The sequence below is a fragment of the Homo sapiens genome, chromosome X (assembly GCF_000001405.40).
Source record: "Homo sapiens chromosome X, GRCh38.p14 Primary Assembly".
In the NCBI taxonomy this organism is placed as follows: domain Eukaryota; kingdom Metazoa; phylum Chordata; class Mammalia; order Primates; family Hominidae; genus Homo; species Homo sapiens.
Window position 1 is genome coordinate 16,855,796 of NC_000023.11, and position 16,335 is coordinate 16,872,130.

At 44.4% G+C, this 16,335-nt stretch overlaps 1 protein-coding gene across 4 annotated transcripts in view, besides 6 other annotated features; it reads right to left on the reverse strand.

The window, feature by feature from the left end:
• The window catches only part of RBBP7 (RB binding protein 7, chromatin remodeling factor), a 26,022-nt gene extending 11,455 nt beyond the window's left edge, over positions 1–14,567 (reverse strand). For 2 of the 4 annotated variants that reach the window (NM_002893.4, XM_047442292.1), the window contains exons 1-5: positions 14,243–14,567; positions 13,281–13,425; positions 7,160–7,305; positions 2,881–3,054; positions 1,799–1,914 (exon numbers count right to left, since the gene is read on the reverse strand). In NM_002893.4, the coding sequence (NP_002884.1) occupies positions 1,799–1,914; positions 2,881–3,054; positions 7,160–7,305; positions 13,281–13,425; positions 14,243–14,258 (597 nt within the window). In that variant the 5' untranslated portion in view covers positions 14,259–14,567. Of the gene's footprint in view, positions 1–1,798; positions 1,915–2,880; positions 3,055–7,159; positions 7,306–13,280; positions 13,426–13,698; positions 14,069–14,242 lie in introns of those variants that run through there. The other 2 variants (NM_001198719.2, XM_047442291.1) reach the window with 1 other exon arrangement.
• Positions 13,484–13,573: an enhancer, noted in NCBI's record as "active region_29456". NCBI's record gives its function as "activates an Ori minimal core promoter by ATAC-STARR-seq in GM12878 lymphoblastoid cells {active_cell/tissue: GM12878}" and the evidence as "EXISTENCE:reporter gene assay evidence [ECO:0000049][PMID:35858748]".
• Positions 13,794–14,133: a silencer, noted in NCBI's record as "silent region_20681". NCBI's record gives its function as "represses an Ori minimal core promoter by ATAC-STARR-seq in GM12878 lymphoblastoid cells {active_cell/tissue: GM12878}" and the evidence as "EXISTENCE:reporter gene assay evidence [ECO:0000049][PMID:35858748]".
• Positions 14,154–14,203: a silencer, noted in NCBI's record as "silent region_20682". NCBI's record gives its function as "represses an Ori minimal core promoter by ATAC-STARR-seq in GM12878 lymphoblastoid cells {active_cell/tissue: GM12878}" and the evidence as "EXISTENCE:reporter gene assay evidence [ECO:0000049][PMID:35858748]".
• Positions 14,534–14,843: a silencer, noted in NCBI's record as "silent region_20683". NCBI's record gives its function as "represses an Ori minimal core promoter by ATAC-STARR-seq in GM12878 lymphoblastoid cells {active_cell/tissue: GM12878}" and the evidence as "EXISTENCE:reporter gene assay evidence [ECO:0000049][PMID:35858748]".
• Positions 14,534–15,261: a biological region, named in NCBI's record as "NANOG-H3K27ac hESC enhancer GRCh37_chrX:16888501-16889179".
• Positions 14,583–15,261: an enhancer, noted in NCBI's record as "NANOG-H3K27ac hESC enhancer chrX:16888501-16889179 (GRCh37/hg19 assembly coordinates)". NCBI's record gives its function as "activates a minimal SCP1, AML or CMV promoter by ChIP-STARR-seq in naive H9 embryonic stem cells {active_cell/tissue: H9 hESC(naive)}" and the evidence as "EXISTENCE:reporter gene assay evidence [ECO:0000049][PMID:30033119]".

Here is a 16,335-nt window from a genome sequence, read left to right on the forward strand (position 1 = left end):
AGACCAGTTTGGGCAATACGGCAAAACTCCATCTCTACAAAGAATACAAAAATTTGCTGGGTGTGGTGGTGGGCGCCTGTAGTCCCACCTACTTGACAGGCTGAGGTAGAGAACCACTAGAGCTGGAAAGGTGGAGGGTGCAGTGAGCCGAGACTGAGCCACTGCACTTCAGCCTGGGTGACAGAGCAAGACCTTGTCTCAAAAAAAAAAAAAAAAAAAAAAAAAAAGTGAAAAGACAACAGAATGGGAGAAAATTTTTGAAAATCATAGGGACTTATACCTAGAATACATAAGAAACTCTTATAACTTGACAATAAAAAGACAAAATTAAAATATGGACAAAGAATTTGAATACCTATTTCTCTAAAGGAGATATGCAAATGGCCAGTAAGTACAAGAAAAGATGCTCATCATCATTAGTCATCAGGGAAATGCAAATTAAAACCACAATGAGCTGGGCGTAGTGACTCATGCCTGTAATCCCAGCACTTTGGGAGGCCAAGGCAGGAGGATTGCTTGAGCCCAGGAGCTCAAGACCAGCATGGCCAACATGGTGAAACCCTGTCTCTACTAAAAGTACGAAAATTAGCTGGGTTTCATGGTGCATGGCTGTAATCTCAGCTACTTGGGAGGCTAAGGCAGGAGAATCGCTTGGACCTGAGAGGTGGAGGTTGCAGTGAGCTGAGATCGTGCCACTATACTCCAGCCTGGGTGACAGAGACAGACTCCGTCTCAAAAAACAAACAAAACAACAACAACAACAACAACAACAAAAACCAACTCCCCACCCCCAAGCCAAAAACAAACAAAAAAAAACCCAGGAAATACCACTTTATGCACACTAGGATAGCTATAATAAAAAAGACAAGCATTAGTGAGGATGTAGAGAAACTGGAACATTTGTACATTGCTTGTGGAAATGTAAAATGGAAAGCCACTTTGGAAAACAGTTTGGTAATTCTTCAAAAAATTAAACAGAGATACCATATGATCCAATAATTCCACTCCTAGGTATATATCCAAGAGAAATAAAAACATACATCTACACAAAAACTTGTAAACAAATGCTTGTAACATAATTCAAAATAGCCCCAAAGTAGAAAGAACTCAAATGGTTCATCAACTGACAAATAAGCTAACTGTGGTATATCCATACAGTGGAATATTGTTCATCCATAAAAAGGAATGGAACATAAGTAATGTTACTTGAAAACATTATGCTAAGTGAAAGAAGCCAAACAGAAAAGGCCATATATGAGATTCCATTTACATGAAATACCAAGAACAGATAACTCTATAGAGACAGAAAATAAATTAGTGCTTACCAGGAGCTGGGGGAAGGCAGGGAATGAGTGGGGAGTCACTGCTTAATGGGTATGGAATTTCTCTTTCAGAGAGCGAATGAAAACATTCTAGAATTAGTGGCAATAGTTGTGCACCTTTGTGAATATACTAAAACCCACTGAACTGTACACTTAAAAAATACTTTATATTAATCAGGTCCCACAAACACTCTACAGTTTCCATTTTAAGGGCCTGGAGGGTCCTCTTTTAAATAATGGGAGGCCTTTTGCCTATGCTCCCTCCATTCTAAGGCTACTTCAAAAGAGCTCTGTGGAATCCGAAGACTCATACAGGGCAGTATGAAAACCATCTCTCTAAAGTCCTGGGGGAATGTTACCACAATAATCAGCAGTATTATCTTAGAAAACCTTTCATCTATATAGTACTCCTTCAGCACAGCTGTGACACGTCAGCTCTCACTATATGAACAAATTACAAAGAATACGTTTCTCACATGGTCATCAGATGCACTTAGGAGATGTCCACTCAAATTTGAATTCCAGGAGAGACCATAGCCTTCCTTCTGGTGACCTCTTAATCTGAGATCAGGATTACATTCTCCACTTGGGTCTAAGAAAAGATGAAAAACATTAAGTTATTCTCTGTTTATCAGAACTGGTGAGAATAAATTCTCACTCCTTCATTGAGTGAACCATTACAGCAACTGCACACGAACGAGATCTGGTCTTTAATACCCAATGCAAATTGAGCCTCATGACCATTAGATGATTGGTTTCTTTGGAAAACCTAATACTATCCCCAACACAAAAATATTAAAAACTATAGCTATCCTACAAATTTGGGCAGTGGTGACCGTATCCCCGCAACCCCCCAATTTTTTAGAAATATTTCTAACACAACAGGTCTGGTTGCTCAGTCCTTGCATGCCTCTAGGGTAGCCTGCAACCATAAATGACCCTTGGCCAACCCCTGGGAATGTGACCCTCAGAAAGTTCTTCACGTCACTGACTGATAAAGTTTTGTAAGCCCAGAGCAGTGGGGTATGCCATAGGGACCTGTCAAGACTTGTAGGATTGTTTAGCAAGATTCACAATGTATTTGGCTTCACTATTGGGGTCCTCAATTTTGTTACCATGGCTGGTCATAGAACAGGATGTGCCCACGCCAACAGACCTCCACAAAAATCCCAGATTCTGAAACTCAAATGGGCTGCCCTGGGTAGAGACATTTAGCACATGTTCCTATGGTTTGCTGCTAGAGACAAAACATGTCCCACGTGGCCCTGGATGGGAAGGACTCAGACGCCTGTAGCTAACCCCTCTGGACTTCCCCTGATGTGTATCTTTTTCTTCCTACTCTTGCTCTGGATTCTTTGCTGTAATAAACTTTAGCTGTTAGTATAAGCTGCTTTTAGGTAGTTCTGGCAAATCCCTGAACTTGAGGATGGTTATGGGACCCCCAAAGCAATTTTTAAACCTTTAAATATTATAAAGTATGCTACTTTGACCTTAAAAACATTACCAGTTTGAATCAAGAAAACTGCTCAAGTAATGACCTAACTCTATTATTACATACCTGGTTTAGCAGGGTGTTTTGTATAGTCAAAAACCAACACATCAGAAGATGGTGTTTTTGTAGCAATGATGTGAGGATTCTGCGGCATGTAACGAGCACGGTTTACTTCTCCTTCGTGATTGATTTTAATTTCACATTCAATTTTTCCTGTTACAGAACCAAAGCCACCAAATTCTAATGTGAGGAGAAAGAAACACACACACACACACTCAGGATTAAAATTCACAAATCACTTAGTTCAATCAACCTAACAGATTTTGACCTGGCAGAATACAACACAAACTGACAAGACAAAGACAGAAACATGCATAGAGAAAACCCAAAAATGTGGGTTCATTTGCCACATCAATTTATTCTTAAAGCCCATTTGCACTGGAAAATATTGGTAGCTGCCTTATGCAACTTAATTCAGTTCCACCTTGGATCTAAAACAACTGTCCTCTTTCAGTTATGAAGATGATATAGTTATTCACTGAAATTTCAAGTAACCATATAATAAGCAGACCAATAGCTTTTTAGTTCAAATACAACTCACTGTAAGTACTGCACTGAATTAGCATCTTATTTTAGGATTCATCAAAACAGGAAAGGTTTTAACCCTCCACAGTATGAACACCCTTTGAGTCTGAAGTCAGAAGCATCCTCAAATCAATCAGAAACCCACGCTAACCCCTACCTGTCCCTAAACACACATACATTGGCCCTGCCAGCATACTTGGTTTAACTGCTAGTGCAGTGCCAAGGTTAACCTCTCCGCCCATCTGGTGTGTGAATAAGACTATAGTATTAAATAATCATGAAAAAGGCCTTGTAAAGTAACAAAGTCATATAAAAAGTACGGTAACTTCCAAGAAGTAGCAACATGTTAGCAGAAAGAATACAAGTAGAGAACATCTAAGCAAATACAGCAAACAAGAACATTCTTTTTTGTGCTCATAGATAAAAAAACCTGAATTAGTTGCTGACGCTTAAAAAGATAGGAGGGTTCACATTACAATTGTGTTATTCTTCCTGACCTATATTGCCTTTTCTTTGCACATTCCATTTTAGCTCACCCTGTGTCTCAGGTCAGGGACAACTAACACAAATGCCTACTGGAGCCAGACAGGTAAGAAGTAAAATAGACCGGGGCCTGGAGCAACCACCAAAAGGAGCAAACCATTTCTCAGTTCCAGGCAGCTCCTTCTATGTGGAATGCTTAATGAACACTCGCTTCCATGTCTTAATATCAGTATCTAGCCGTTCCTCTCTGAAGCAAACATAGCTTACTATTTCAGTGTGGTTGAAAAAACCGTATCTCAAATCCACGATTACTCCAAAGCTCCTCTACCCACTACTCTCATGTGACCACATGCAAAAGGATCCTTTTTCCTCGTAGCACCTTCTGTTCCATGGTGTCAATGGAAGAAATGTGCCTCGGCATGCTAAGACCCCTCCTGATCCAATCGTCTCCTCCCTCCTGAGACTGCTCCAAATCTGCTCCACTTTGACCTTCAACATCCCATTCCATGGACTCCAGTGGCTCTAACCCTTCTGCTACAAAGATACTCAAGTTTCCTGATTCCTTTAGCTAAAACAACCTGAAGAGCTCTCCTTTAAAAAAAAAAGGGGGGGGGGCGGGGCTTCCAAGTAGGATTTACTTTGAACACAGAGTTTTGTTTTCTCAAACTTAAAATTTTGAAAAGTCACTGTCTTAATGATAATATCCATTAAAAAATGTAACTCAATATTGGCCGGGCGTGGTGGCTCATGCCTGTAATCCCGGCACTTTGGGAGGCCAAGGCGTGCGGATCATGAGGTCAGGAAAGCAAGACCATCCTGGCTAACAAGGTGAAACCCCGTCTCTACTAAAAATACAAAAAATCAGCTAGGTGTGGTGGCGGGCGCCTGTAGTCCCAGCTACTCGGGAAATCGCTTGAACCCAGGAGGCAGAGGTTGCAGTGAGCTGAGGTCACACCACTGCACTCCAGCCTGGGTGACAGAGCGAAACTTCGTCTCGAAAAAAAAAAGAAAAAAAAAAAGAAAAAAAAAATATATATACTGAATATTAACAAAGGTATTAACTGAATTATTTCAGCTACTTGTTAGAATACACTGGATGTGTAACTTTAATAATATATTAACATCATTATGCAGAGACTGTTAAACTGCAAGCCCGGTAAATACATACTTCAGGGCTAAAAGCCATTTAAAAATTTCTGATTACAATATATTCAGGCCGGGAGTGGTGGCTCATGCCTGTAATTCCAGCACTTTGGGAAGTTTAGGCAGGCGAATCACTTGAGGCCAGGAGTTCGAGACCTGCCTGGCCAACATGACAAAACCCAGTCTCTACTAAAAATACAAAAATTAGCCGGGCATGGTGGTGGACGCCTGTAATCCCAGCTACTCTTGAGGCTGAGGTACGAGAATCACTTGAACCCAGGAGGTGGAGGTTGCAGTGAGCCGAGATTGCACCACTGCACTCCAGCCTGGGCGACTGAGCGAGACCCTGCCTCATAACAAACAAAAACAAAACACAAAAAAACCCCAATATTTAAAGAAATAATGCATACAGTTGTCGGGGAATGAACAGTAAATTGTGGGAGTAGTAAACTGGGTAAATCACTTTGGAAAATAGTTTTCTATGAAGTTGACAATGAATACACCATACAACCTAGCAGTTTCACTACACTAGAGAATGTAGTATTTTTGAGACAGGATCTTGCTCTGTTGCTCAGGGTGGAGTGCAGTGGTGTGATCCTAGTTCACTACAGCTTCGAACTCCTGGGCTCAAGCGATCCTCAGCCTCCCAAGTAGCTAGGACTACAGGCATGCGCCACCACACATGGCTGATTTTTAATTTTATTTTTTGATAGAGACAATGTCTCACTGTGTGCCCTGAGTGGTCTTAAACTCCCAGGCTCAAGCGTTCCTCCTGCCTTGGCCTCCCGAAGTGTTGGGACTATGGGTATAGCCACTGCACCTGGCCAGTATTTTATTTTCAATAAGAAAAAAACCCTAAGGCACATATTAGAAAGTGCTAATAGCGTTAAGCCATTTGGGACTGTGAAGAAAGAGTTAATACAGCAGTCTGGGTGCTTAGCCCTGGAGTCTCTGAGGAACACTGGGACCCTATTACTGACCCTTGGCTAACTCCTGGGAACATGCACCTCAGAATGTTCTTTCTGTCACTGATGAACTGATGATTTTGTGGTGTGCACCTGGAGCAATGGACCGCGTTGTACCAGTTTGTCAGGGTTACTCTGCAGATATCAAGATTGATGACACGTACCTTCTTTTATTACTGGGTCCTCAGTTTGTATTACTGGGGTCCTCAAGTTACAGTTGCTGTGGCTGGTTGTCAGCAGGATGTGCCTATGCAACTAGTCCCCCAAGAAAGCCTCAGACCCCAAGACCCAAACAGGCTTCCCTGAGCAGAGATATTTCACACATGTCCCTGCAGTTTGCTGCCGGAAGACACATCCTGTGTGGCCTTGGACAAGACTTGTGCCAGACCTCCCTGAACTTGCCGATGTACATCTTTTTCCTGCTGCTTTTGTGTTCTTTACTGTAACAAACTTTAGCCACAAGTATAATTTGCTCTTGGGAGTCCTAGCAAAATCACCAAACTTGGGGTGGTCATGGGAATACCAAAACAGGAGAGTATATGTTTGACAAATTAAAAAAAGAAAAAAGCAGCCAACAGATTCCTGAATTAACCCTACCACTACTGCCTCTCTCCTCAAACAAAAAATACCCATTGCACACACCAACACATATTACTTTTACCAAAGTGGAATACTGTAATTACACATAGCAGTTAGTCACTTAATTTATCTTGGATACCTTCCTATACCAGTGCCTACAGATTTTTCTCATTAAAAAAAAAAATTTTTTTTTTAAATTTTTGGTAGAAATGAGGTCTGTGTTTTTCAGACTGGGCTTGAACTCCTGAGTTCAAGCAATCCTCCCACCTTGGCCTCCCAAAGTGCTGGGATTATAGGCGTGAGCCATGGCACCTGGCCTTTCTTATTAATTGCTGAGTAGTATTTCAAACATACCATGTGCTTAACCAACTTTCTATGAACCAACATCTGGGTTACAAGGTTGATCCTAATTTTTCAATTCTGCAATTACGACTAAAATCCTTGTGCACATGTGGGTGGGAAGTTCTGTAGAATAAAGTCCTAGAAGTTAAATTACTGGGCCAAAAGCTAATAGTATAGTTTTAATAGCATATGCTTTGAAAGAGACATTTTCCCTTTGACACCAATATTGGAATATATGATATACCTACCACCCTTGTCACTGTCACAATGGGAAGCATCAAACTGTGCATCATCATTGGGAATATGTACTCGAGCAACCACCAGATGATTCTGCTCATCAGACGTATGAGTCCCCAGCACTAGCCAATGAAGGGCATAATCTTTTCCTTCAGGTCTGTTTAAGAAAGAAAATAAGTCACACTAATCCTACAAGAAATCTCCAATTGCTAACAAATTCAGTCTAGTTCCCTCAAAATACATTCATATTTCTTTAGCAAATATATACTTAGCATCAACTGTGTATCTTCTCCCCCTCTGGTTACCAACTTTACAATCCCCACATATGCAAATATAAGAAAATATTCTAGCTACAACATGCAGAGGGCTTGCTTCTTTCCCAAAGAGCCATCCTCCTGTGCCTCAATTATCAGCGTGAACACTACCTTTTATAGAGCAGCACTCCGGGGAAGGTAGGCCCAACTCAGTAAACACAGACAAACATCTACACAGGAATCCACCAACAATCCCCACACTCATAAATCACAACTTCCCACCTAAAGAAATCTTCTTCCCACCTAAAAATATCTTATACACTAGATGTTTCTTATTTCCCAATAAGAAATTCTACAAGGTAGTATGGACAGAAAGTGTTGAATCAAAAAAACTTAGCTTAAATCCTGGATCAAACTAAAATGCAGTTGCTTAAAACACAACCTCCCTGGGGCCTCAGTTTCTTCACTGAATAAAATAGGCTATAAGTGCAAATGGCATGATGTGAAACTCACTGACGTTTATGATACCTAAGTTTATGAAACGAACATTCTCAATTTTACCGAGGTATCTTTGTTACCTTGTTCTGTGGAAACACCTTGAGGCTGAAGAACTTGCCCAAACCTCTTGGCACCTTGGTCCGAGCAGTGATTTTTGCATCAGTATCTATTAAAAAGGCTTTCCCATTTGTATTATCTAGAATACAATTTTCAACTGTGCTCCATGGTCCCACTTCAATGAAGAGGACTGAGAAGTAGGGGTCTAGGCCCTAACACAAGACAAGTTAGGCCATTTATCTGTTTCTAAATTTCAGCTGCACAAAGGATTCAATTTTTTTTTTTTTTCTAAAAAGATTGAAGATTACTTCTAGGCAAGTAATTTAGTAATAAGAAAATACAAGATGCAATTTTACCAAAATTTGGCTTACGGTAAAAAAGTGTGTGCACATGGAGAAGAGACACACACACACACAGACACACTCCCCCCAAAACAGAGTAAGGCAGCCGTGACTAAGCAATAGCAACGTGTTTGAAAAAAAGACAAATGGGCGCCGTGGCTCACGCCTGTAATCCCAGCACTTTAGGAGGCCAAGGCAGGCGGATCACCTGAGGTCAGGAGTTCGAGACCAGCCTAGCCAACGTGGAGAAACCCCATCTCTATTAAAAATACAAAATTAGCCGGGCATGGTGGCGCATGCCTGTAATCCCAGCTACTCAGGAGGCGGAGGCAGGAGAATCACTTGAACCTGGGAGGTGGAGGTTGTGGTGAGTCAAGATCTCAAGATCACACCATTGCACTCCAGCCTGGGCAACGAGTGAAACTCCGTCTCCAAAAAAAAAAAAAAAAAAAAAGAAAAAGAAAGAAAACATGGGTCTTGGTTGATACATGCACAGTGGGCCAAGAATATGATGTGGCTATCAAAAAATTAATTAATTCCATCTTAGGTGGTCTTTATATGTATGTAGGGGGCAATGCACATGAGCACATGTGCCCCCCACCCCCGACCTTTTCTTTTTTTAAGAGACAAGGTCTCACTATGTTGCCCAGGCTGGCCTCCAACTCCTGGACTCAAGTTGATCCTCCTACATCAACCTCTTCAGCAGCTGGGACTACAGATGTGTGCCACCATATCTGGCTTGCCCACTTATTTTTAACCAGTAAAACCATTAAAATTAGGCTCTAAGCAACATACTTTATGAGGACTTGGATAAAAATCAAACCTTTACAGGGAATAGTGGCTTAAAATGAAAGGGTAAGCCAGGTGCAGTGCTGTGCACCCGTAGTACCAGCTACTAGGGCTACTACGGAAGACTGCTTGAGCCTAGGAGTTCATGTCCAGCCTGGGCAACATAGCAAGACCCTGTCTCAAAAAAAAAAAAAAAAAAAAAAAAAAAGAATAAATATTTGGCCGGATGTGGTGGCTCACGCCTCTAATCCCAGCACTTTGGGAAGCCAAGGCAAGCGGATTGCTTGAACCCAGGACTTCGAGACCAGCCTGGGCAACGTGGCAAAATCCCATCTCCACAAAAAACAAAAAACACAAAAACAAAAAACAAAAATTTAAATAAATATTTAAAAAGAGAAATAATAATGCTTGAGAGAAAGAAGGCACCACAGAGCAATGCTGGTACTGTCATCAAAGGAAAAAAGTCACTTGTTTTTTGTGGAGTTGAGCAGGAAAACTAAGACCAACAAGTAAAAAATAACAGGTAGGTCAGTTTATCACAGGCCCTTTCTAAGGAACACTGTCCCAAGACGGACTGGAGGAGCTTAAAAATCCCTCTGGACTCAAATTTAATTATTCCAGTTTTCCCCAACTTGATCATCATATGAGGACTTTTCTTTTTACTAGAAATCCCTTCACCTCCATCATTAAAACACAGCCTGTTTTCCTAAACTAATCAATATGACACTATTTTCCTCCAATACTGGATGTACCTAAAGGCTGCAGAAGGACTAATGGTTAAGAAAGCCTATTCATTTTCAGTGCAGAATCCTTTGACCCCAGTAACTACCACTAGGAAATTTAGCCAAGCATCACATAAATCTGGCCTATTGCAAGATTATTCTCAGCAGTATTGTTTATAGAAGGAAAAAGACTGAAAATAACTAAGTATCCATCAGCAAGGAACTGGTATCATACATTACACAGTGTATCCATAAACAAAATTCTATGGCACTCTTGAAAAGAACAAGCATATCCAAGCATGCTGACAGGAAAATCTCCAATACATACTCTTACTGACAAACTCAAGTGAAGAACTTGCTACCATAAAAAATGAAGATACAGGTATGCACTTCTACACGCTGGCAAGGATGGGTTAGGAAATTGAAAACAATGACTGGGGAAAGGAAGTAGGACAGTAAGGGATGTGGAAAGGGGACTTATTCTTCACTCTATGTCCTTTTATACTTCCTGAATTTGAAAAATTACAAAGCTTTTTAGGTAGACAATAAGTTAGTCTCAATATATTTAAGACATTATTCAACAAGAGATATGAAATAACTATCTAATTAAAACAAATTTCTTAGAGATACTTAAATAAAACCTTTTAAAAGCCAAATCAACACCTGTAATCCCAGCACTCTGGGAGGCCGAGGCGGGCGGATCACGAGGTCAGGAGTTTGAGACCAGCCTGACCAACATAGTGAAACCCTGTCTTTACCAAAAATACAACAATTAGCTGGGTGTGGTGGCACAAACCTGTAATCCCAGCTACTCAGGAGGCTGAGGCAGGAGAATCGCTTGAACCCGGGAGGTGGAGGCTGCAGTGAGCCAAGATGGTGCCACTGCACTCCAGCCTGGGAGACAGAGCGAGACTGTCTCAAAAAAAAAAAAAAAAAAAAAAAAAAAAAAAAAAGAAAGAAAGAAAGCAAGAAAGCAAGAAAGCAAGCCAGCCAGCCAAATCAATTATTTGGACAATTACCTAACTCAATTGAAGGACAATAGCTAAGAAAGTCCAAGTAATCGTTATGAAGCATGTTGTAAGTCAGCAGAAGAAAGGCCTATGAGGTGGAGTAGGATCTTGTTCCTCAGAGTCAGGCATTGAGAATAGTCAACATTTTTACTGTTCTGTATGGTGATAAAACACAGTCCCTTTATACCCCAAACTGAACCCTGCAAAGCACCACACAACAATCCTCAACATCCAAGAATGCAGGCTGCTTGGCATTTTCTTACATTCTCTAAGCCACTGCACATCCCACAACCCAATCCCACAACAGCTTTGTATACAAAGAACACCATGATACACATTAAATAATTTAATTAAAGCATTTTGTTACATTCCTAAGTATTACATATTATAGGTAACATTTTTTTAAAAAAAACTTCAGCAAGTAGCTTTCATTGAAATCCAAATGAAGAAACAGAGCTATTTCAATCCTGACAAATTATTTCTGAACAGGAAGGGGTGGGAGAATCAGCATCAGTCACCACTTACCGTGTACTTATGCTGCACCAGGCACTTTAACATGCATGATCTTATTTCATTCCCTCAAATGTAGGTAGTCAGTATGACCAACATCTCCATTTACAGCCCAGACAACACGGCCCCAGTTCATGAAGCTAAGAAGTAGGGGCATGATTTTAACCCAGGTCTCTAAGTTTAAAGCCCCTGCTGTTTTCTATTATGTTACAGTGGGTCAAAAAGATCCCCCAAAAGGTAAATTTAGTTAATACATTTTAAATCTGCTTAACAGACCAAAGAGGCAAATGCACACGATGCTCCAAACCAGAACTTGAATACCCGAGTATATGATGCTTAATCTATTTTTCAATCTGTTGTGGCTGTAAACGTCAATGCTTCCAAGTCTCCATCATTTAGTTCTTCTCTACTCTTCCCACATCTGTACATTTATATTTAGATTTTTGGGAAGCCTAGTGGAAATTCCTATCTGTATAGAAATCAATGTTTGCATATGGAGAACCCGGCCACTGTAAGAGCAGTTTTATATACATTAGATTATTATTATAATAATTATTTTTATTTTTAAGAGATGGAGTCTCGCTCTCGCCCAGGCTGGAGTGCAGTGGTGCGATGTTGGCTCACTGCAACCTCCGCCTCCCAGGTTCAAGCAATTCTCCTGCCTCTGCCTCCCTGTAGCCTGTAGCTAGGACTACAGGTACACGCTGCCACGCCCGGTTTTTTTTTTTTTTTGGTATTTTAGTAGAGATGGGATTTCACCTTGTTGCCTGGGCTGGTTTTGAACTCCTGAGCTCAGGCAATCCGCCTGCCTCGGCCTCCCGAAGTGCTACGATTACAGGCGTGAGCCACCGCACCCAGCCAAAATTAGCTTATTATTTTTATAACTTGTTGCAAAATCCTCTTTTTAGGTTAGAGTTTCATTTAATCCTCTTTAAATTATATGTCCGCAACACCCAAATTTAAGATGCTTGTTTTTTGTTTCTTTGAGAGACACGGTCTCACTCTGTTGGCTAAGCTAGAATGCAGTGGCGCAATCATGGCTCACTGCAGCCTTGAACTCCTGAGCTCAAGCTAACCTTCCAAAGCACTAGGATTACAGGAGTATAAACCACTGTGCCTGACCCCATATTTAATACACTTTAAAAGTACATGGTCAAGTTCCTACTAGAAAAGGTGCAAGTGAATGAGAAAGGCAGTCTAATGCAGGGACCAGCTGTGTGATCTTGGGATGGCACTTAAACTCTCACTCCCAGTTTCCTTATCAGTAAAACAAGGATGATGAAAAGTACCTACAGCATAGTACTATTATGAGGATTACAACAAACAACAGGACGTAGATTCTTCAGATGTGCCAGGCCCTGTTCTGAGTGCTCAATAAATGCCAGCAATTATTACCAGAGAAACTGCAGATGTAACAGAAAAGAATACTCTTATGAAGACTAACAGCAATCTCAAAGTGTATTCCATAAGCCGATAACATCTTTTCTTTGGTCAATTGTTGACAAGGTCTTTTTCCCTTTACCAATTAAAATGTATTTATCTTGGATGACTGTTACGTGTGTTCACTTTGTAAAAATTTATCAAGCCATACAACACTTAAGATGTGTGAACTTTTCCGTAAATATTCTATTTTTCAGTAAAGTTTTAAAGAAACGCATTAGTTTGGGCCCAGAAAGATGCTGCTCTACATTCAAGCCCAGGAAATGTCAAATATATTCAGTGCTTCCTCCAAACACGATTAATCTCACAACAGCTTCTTTCTCCCCTTTTACCACCACACTATACACCAGAAATCATCCCACAAATCACGTAAGTTTTGAAAATAAAAACCACCTGCCACCTCATGCAAGGGCTGATTACATACTTATGTTCTATGCATAAAACGCCAAAACTAGGAAATTCAGAACGACAGTTAAATTTAAACAAAATAAAAGTTGCCAGAAACCCTTACTTAGTCACTTCAGGAAGCCACTGAACGGTAAGACTGGGCCACTGAAGAGCATGGGTCATAACCAGGTCATATAGAAACGGTGTATTCTTCTTCCAGATTTTATATTCTTCATTGATGACACGCTCCTCCACAGTATCTTCAAACACTGAAATTTGGAGAAAGCCCACACGATTAAGTGGCTGAGATAGATCAAAGTCAGAAATTGGAGGTCACCTCAAGATGGCCACACCTCATGTACTCTTTCCTTTTACCTCTAATTTGGACACGGACAACTAACTGCTCTTCCAGAAGGTGGAGAAAATACTAACAATCAGGAAGCCTATTTTTTCCATTGAGATCAATACCCCCTGCGTACACCATGTTGGGTAGTCAATTACACGGACATGGAAATTGTTTACCCTGTTACAGCTGTTCGCACCTGTTCTAAGATGACGACCTGTACGTACAGGGGCTGCGCGACCCAGTCGGGAAGACAAATGCACGTGTAGCAGAAGCCCACAGGCCTGGTCTCTCCAATCCCCATCAGGGGAGGCCCCAGCTCCCACGACGCCCGCCTCGGCAGCCATAGGCCTGAGGACCCCAGCAACCCCCGGACAAGGGCCGCGACCCCGAGGCGGTCAACGCGCGCGCGCGCGTAGAAAGAGCCGCGGCGCTCGCTTCCCAGCGGCGGGGGCCGCCTCCGCCCCGGGGCCGAGGGCGCCGGAGGGAGCGCAGCCGCTGGAGGAGGGAAGGGAAGAGGGGGGCCCAGCCCTCGGCCCCGCGCCCGGCTCCGGAAGTGCTCGGAGCCCTCGGCGCGGCGGTCCCGTCCCGCGCAGGCCCCTCGAGGCGCGCGCCCAGTCTCGCGCCCGGCCCCGCCCCCTGCTCCGCACGCCAATTCGCGCCTTTCGCCGGCGCGTGCCGCGGCCTCGCGCGCCCGCCGCCCCCCGCGGCCCCGGCGCGCGCCGCCCCGCAGGGCCTCTTACTCTCTTTACTCGCCATCTTGCGTCGGGTCGTTCGCCCCTCGCCGCCGCCTCGGACTCCTCTCGTTAGCCAAGAGCAGCCCGACCGCTGGCGCTCCTGCCTTTCCCAAGCGCGTCACACTCCCCACTGTCGAAAGCCCGGGCCCCGTCTTGCTGCCTGGGTGCTCCCCAGACGCCGCGTCCTTCTTTCCTGCCTCCTCCCCGCTCGCGGGTACCGAGGTCTGAGGCGCTCTTCTCTCTCTCTCCAAACTTGGAACGAGACTTTTCAACCCGCGCCTCCCAGCCCGCCCAGGCAGCTGAGCGCAGGCGCATCCGCCCTGGGAAAAGTGAGAGGAGGCGGAGAGGCGGGTCTGGGAGCCAACGGCTCCGGCGCCGAGACCAATGACGCGCGGCGGGCGGGTTTCACGCGGCGTTCGGAGGCGGGCTTCTGGGGGTGGGCGGAGCGTGCCGCGGCAGGAAGTTGGCGATGCGCAGGCGCGAGGGCTCGCCCGGCGCTCCCAGGGCCGGCCGCGGAGGCGGATGGGGCGCGCGGGGGCGGGGCGGATGAGGGCCCGAGGGGGCGGGGCGGATGGGGGCGCGCGAGGGCGGGGCTGATGGAGGCGCGGCTGGCCGGCTGAGTGGGGGCCGCGAGCCCCGGGGCGGCGAGCCTTGGGGCCCGCGGGGCGTGGTTGCTTGTAGCGGCAGCGGTGGTGGGGGTGAGAGGGGGGCAGGGAGGCTGCCGCCGCTTAGCCAAGCAAAATCTCAGAGCAAGAGGGGAAAATGGTTCCTGTTCTCGAGAGATTACTGTGCCTTCAAAGTCTCCCTGATAATCACGGACATGCAATTCTCTGCACCCCTGAAATGTTCTCCTCCAGCCGACTGGCCTTTCCTGGGGCCCGGTCGGGCCGAGGTGGGGCTGGTCTCAGACGGAGGAGAGCTTTTGGAGAGGCCGCGGGCGTTTTCTGCCTGCAAAAGCCGCCGGGCCGCCCTGTTAGGCTAAATGTGCAGCCTGTGGCGGCACAGGCCGCCGGCGGGCCGAAGCCGATTTACACTGTTACATTTTAATTTGTTCGATGTTTGGGTCCTTAAGATGATGGTTTGCGGCCTCTTCGCGCTTCAGGGGATTTTGTCCCTGCACTGGCGTTCCTTTCTCATCCCAGCCCCGGCCCCTGCTGAGTCATTTTTGTCACCTGCAGGGGTCCCAGCGCGACCCCACCCCAAGCTGGCGGAGCTGGAGAGAGCAGGGCTGAACTACCCTGGGCCTGCTTACCTGAGCCCTGCTCTGCTCAGGAACTTCATAGCCCCTGAGGAGTGTGTCGGGGGAGGAGAAAGCTGGCTGCAAGGCCAAAAGGGAAATAGAAGAAAATGAGGGCCAGGAGCAGAGGGGACGGAGTTGGGGGAGGCGACCAAGGTGCCTGCGTGCAAAGGGAACCGAAGTGTACGTCCAGCTCCGGGAGAGGCTCCTCTTGCAAAAGCACCCCCGGAACATTTGCTGCCTTGATACCTTTCCAAGTGCCTTCATGCTCAGATGCTATCTTGCAGATGCCGCTGTCATGCCCACTTTTCTGACCGGGACGCAAACCCAGACGTTAGTCAGTGGCAGAACCAGTCACATTCCCTTCTGTAGATATTTACTGTGTTGTTTCCGATACAATACCGTTCATTATTATAACGCCCTCCCCCCATTCTGGGTCAAGGAATCTTGTTAGTGCCTAAGGCTGAGGGGGTGGCTAGAGAGGGAAGAGAGTTGGAAGGGTGTTTAAGCAATACAGCCCTCATATTCTAGGACATTAGTTGGCAAGACTTTTTCTAAAAGGACCGAGATAGTAAATATTTTAGGCTTTGGGGGCAACTGCTCGACTCTGTCGCTTTGCAGCGCAAAGCAGCCATGGAAAATATGGATGCATTTGGCTGCGTTCCGATAAAACTACAGACACTAAAATCGTTTTCACGGGTCACAAAATCTTTTGATTTTTTTTTTCTATCACTTGAAAACGGAAAAACCATTCTCAGCTCGAGGGTCATACAAAAACATGTGGTGGGTTAGATTTAGTCGGAGGACTGTAGTTTGCCCACCTTGTTCTAGAATAATTGTACCTTATGGCTCTGCTTCAAAG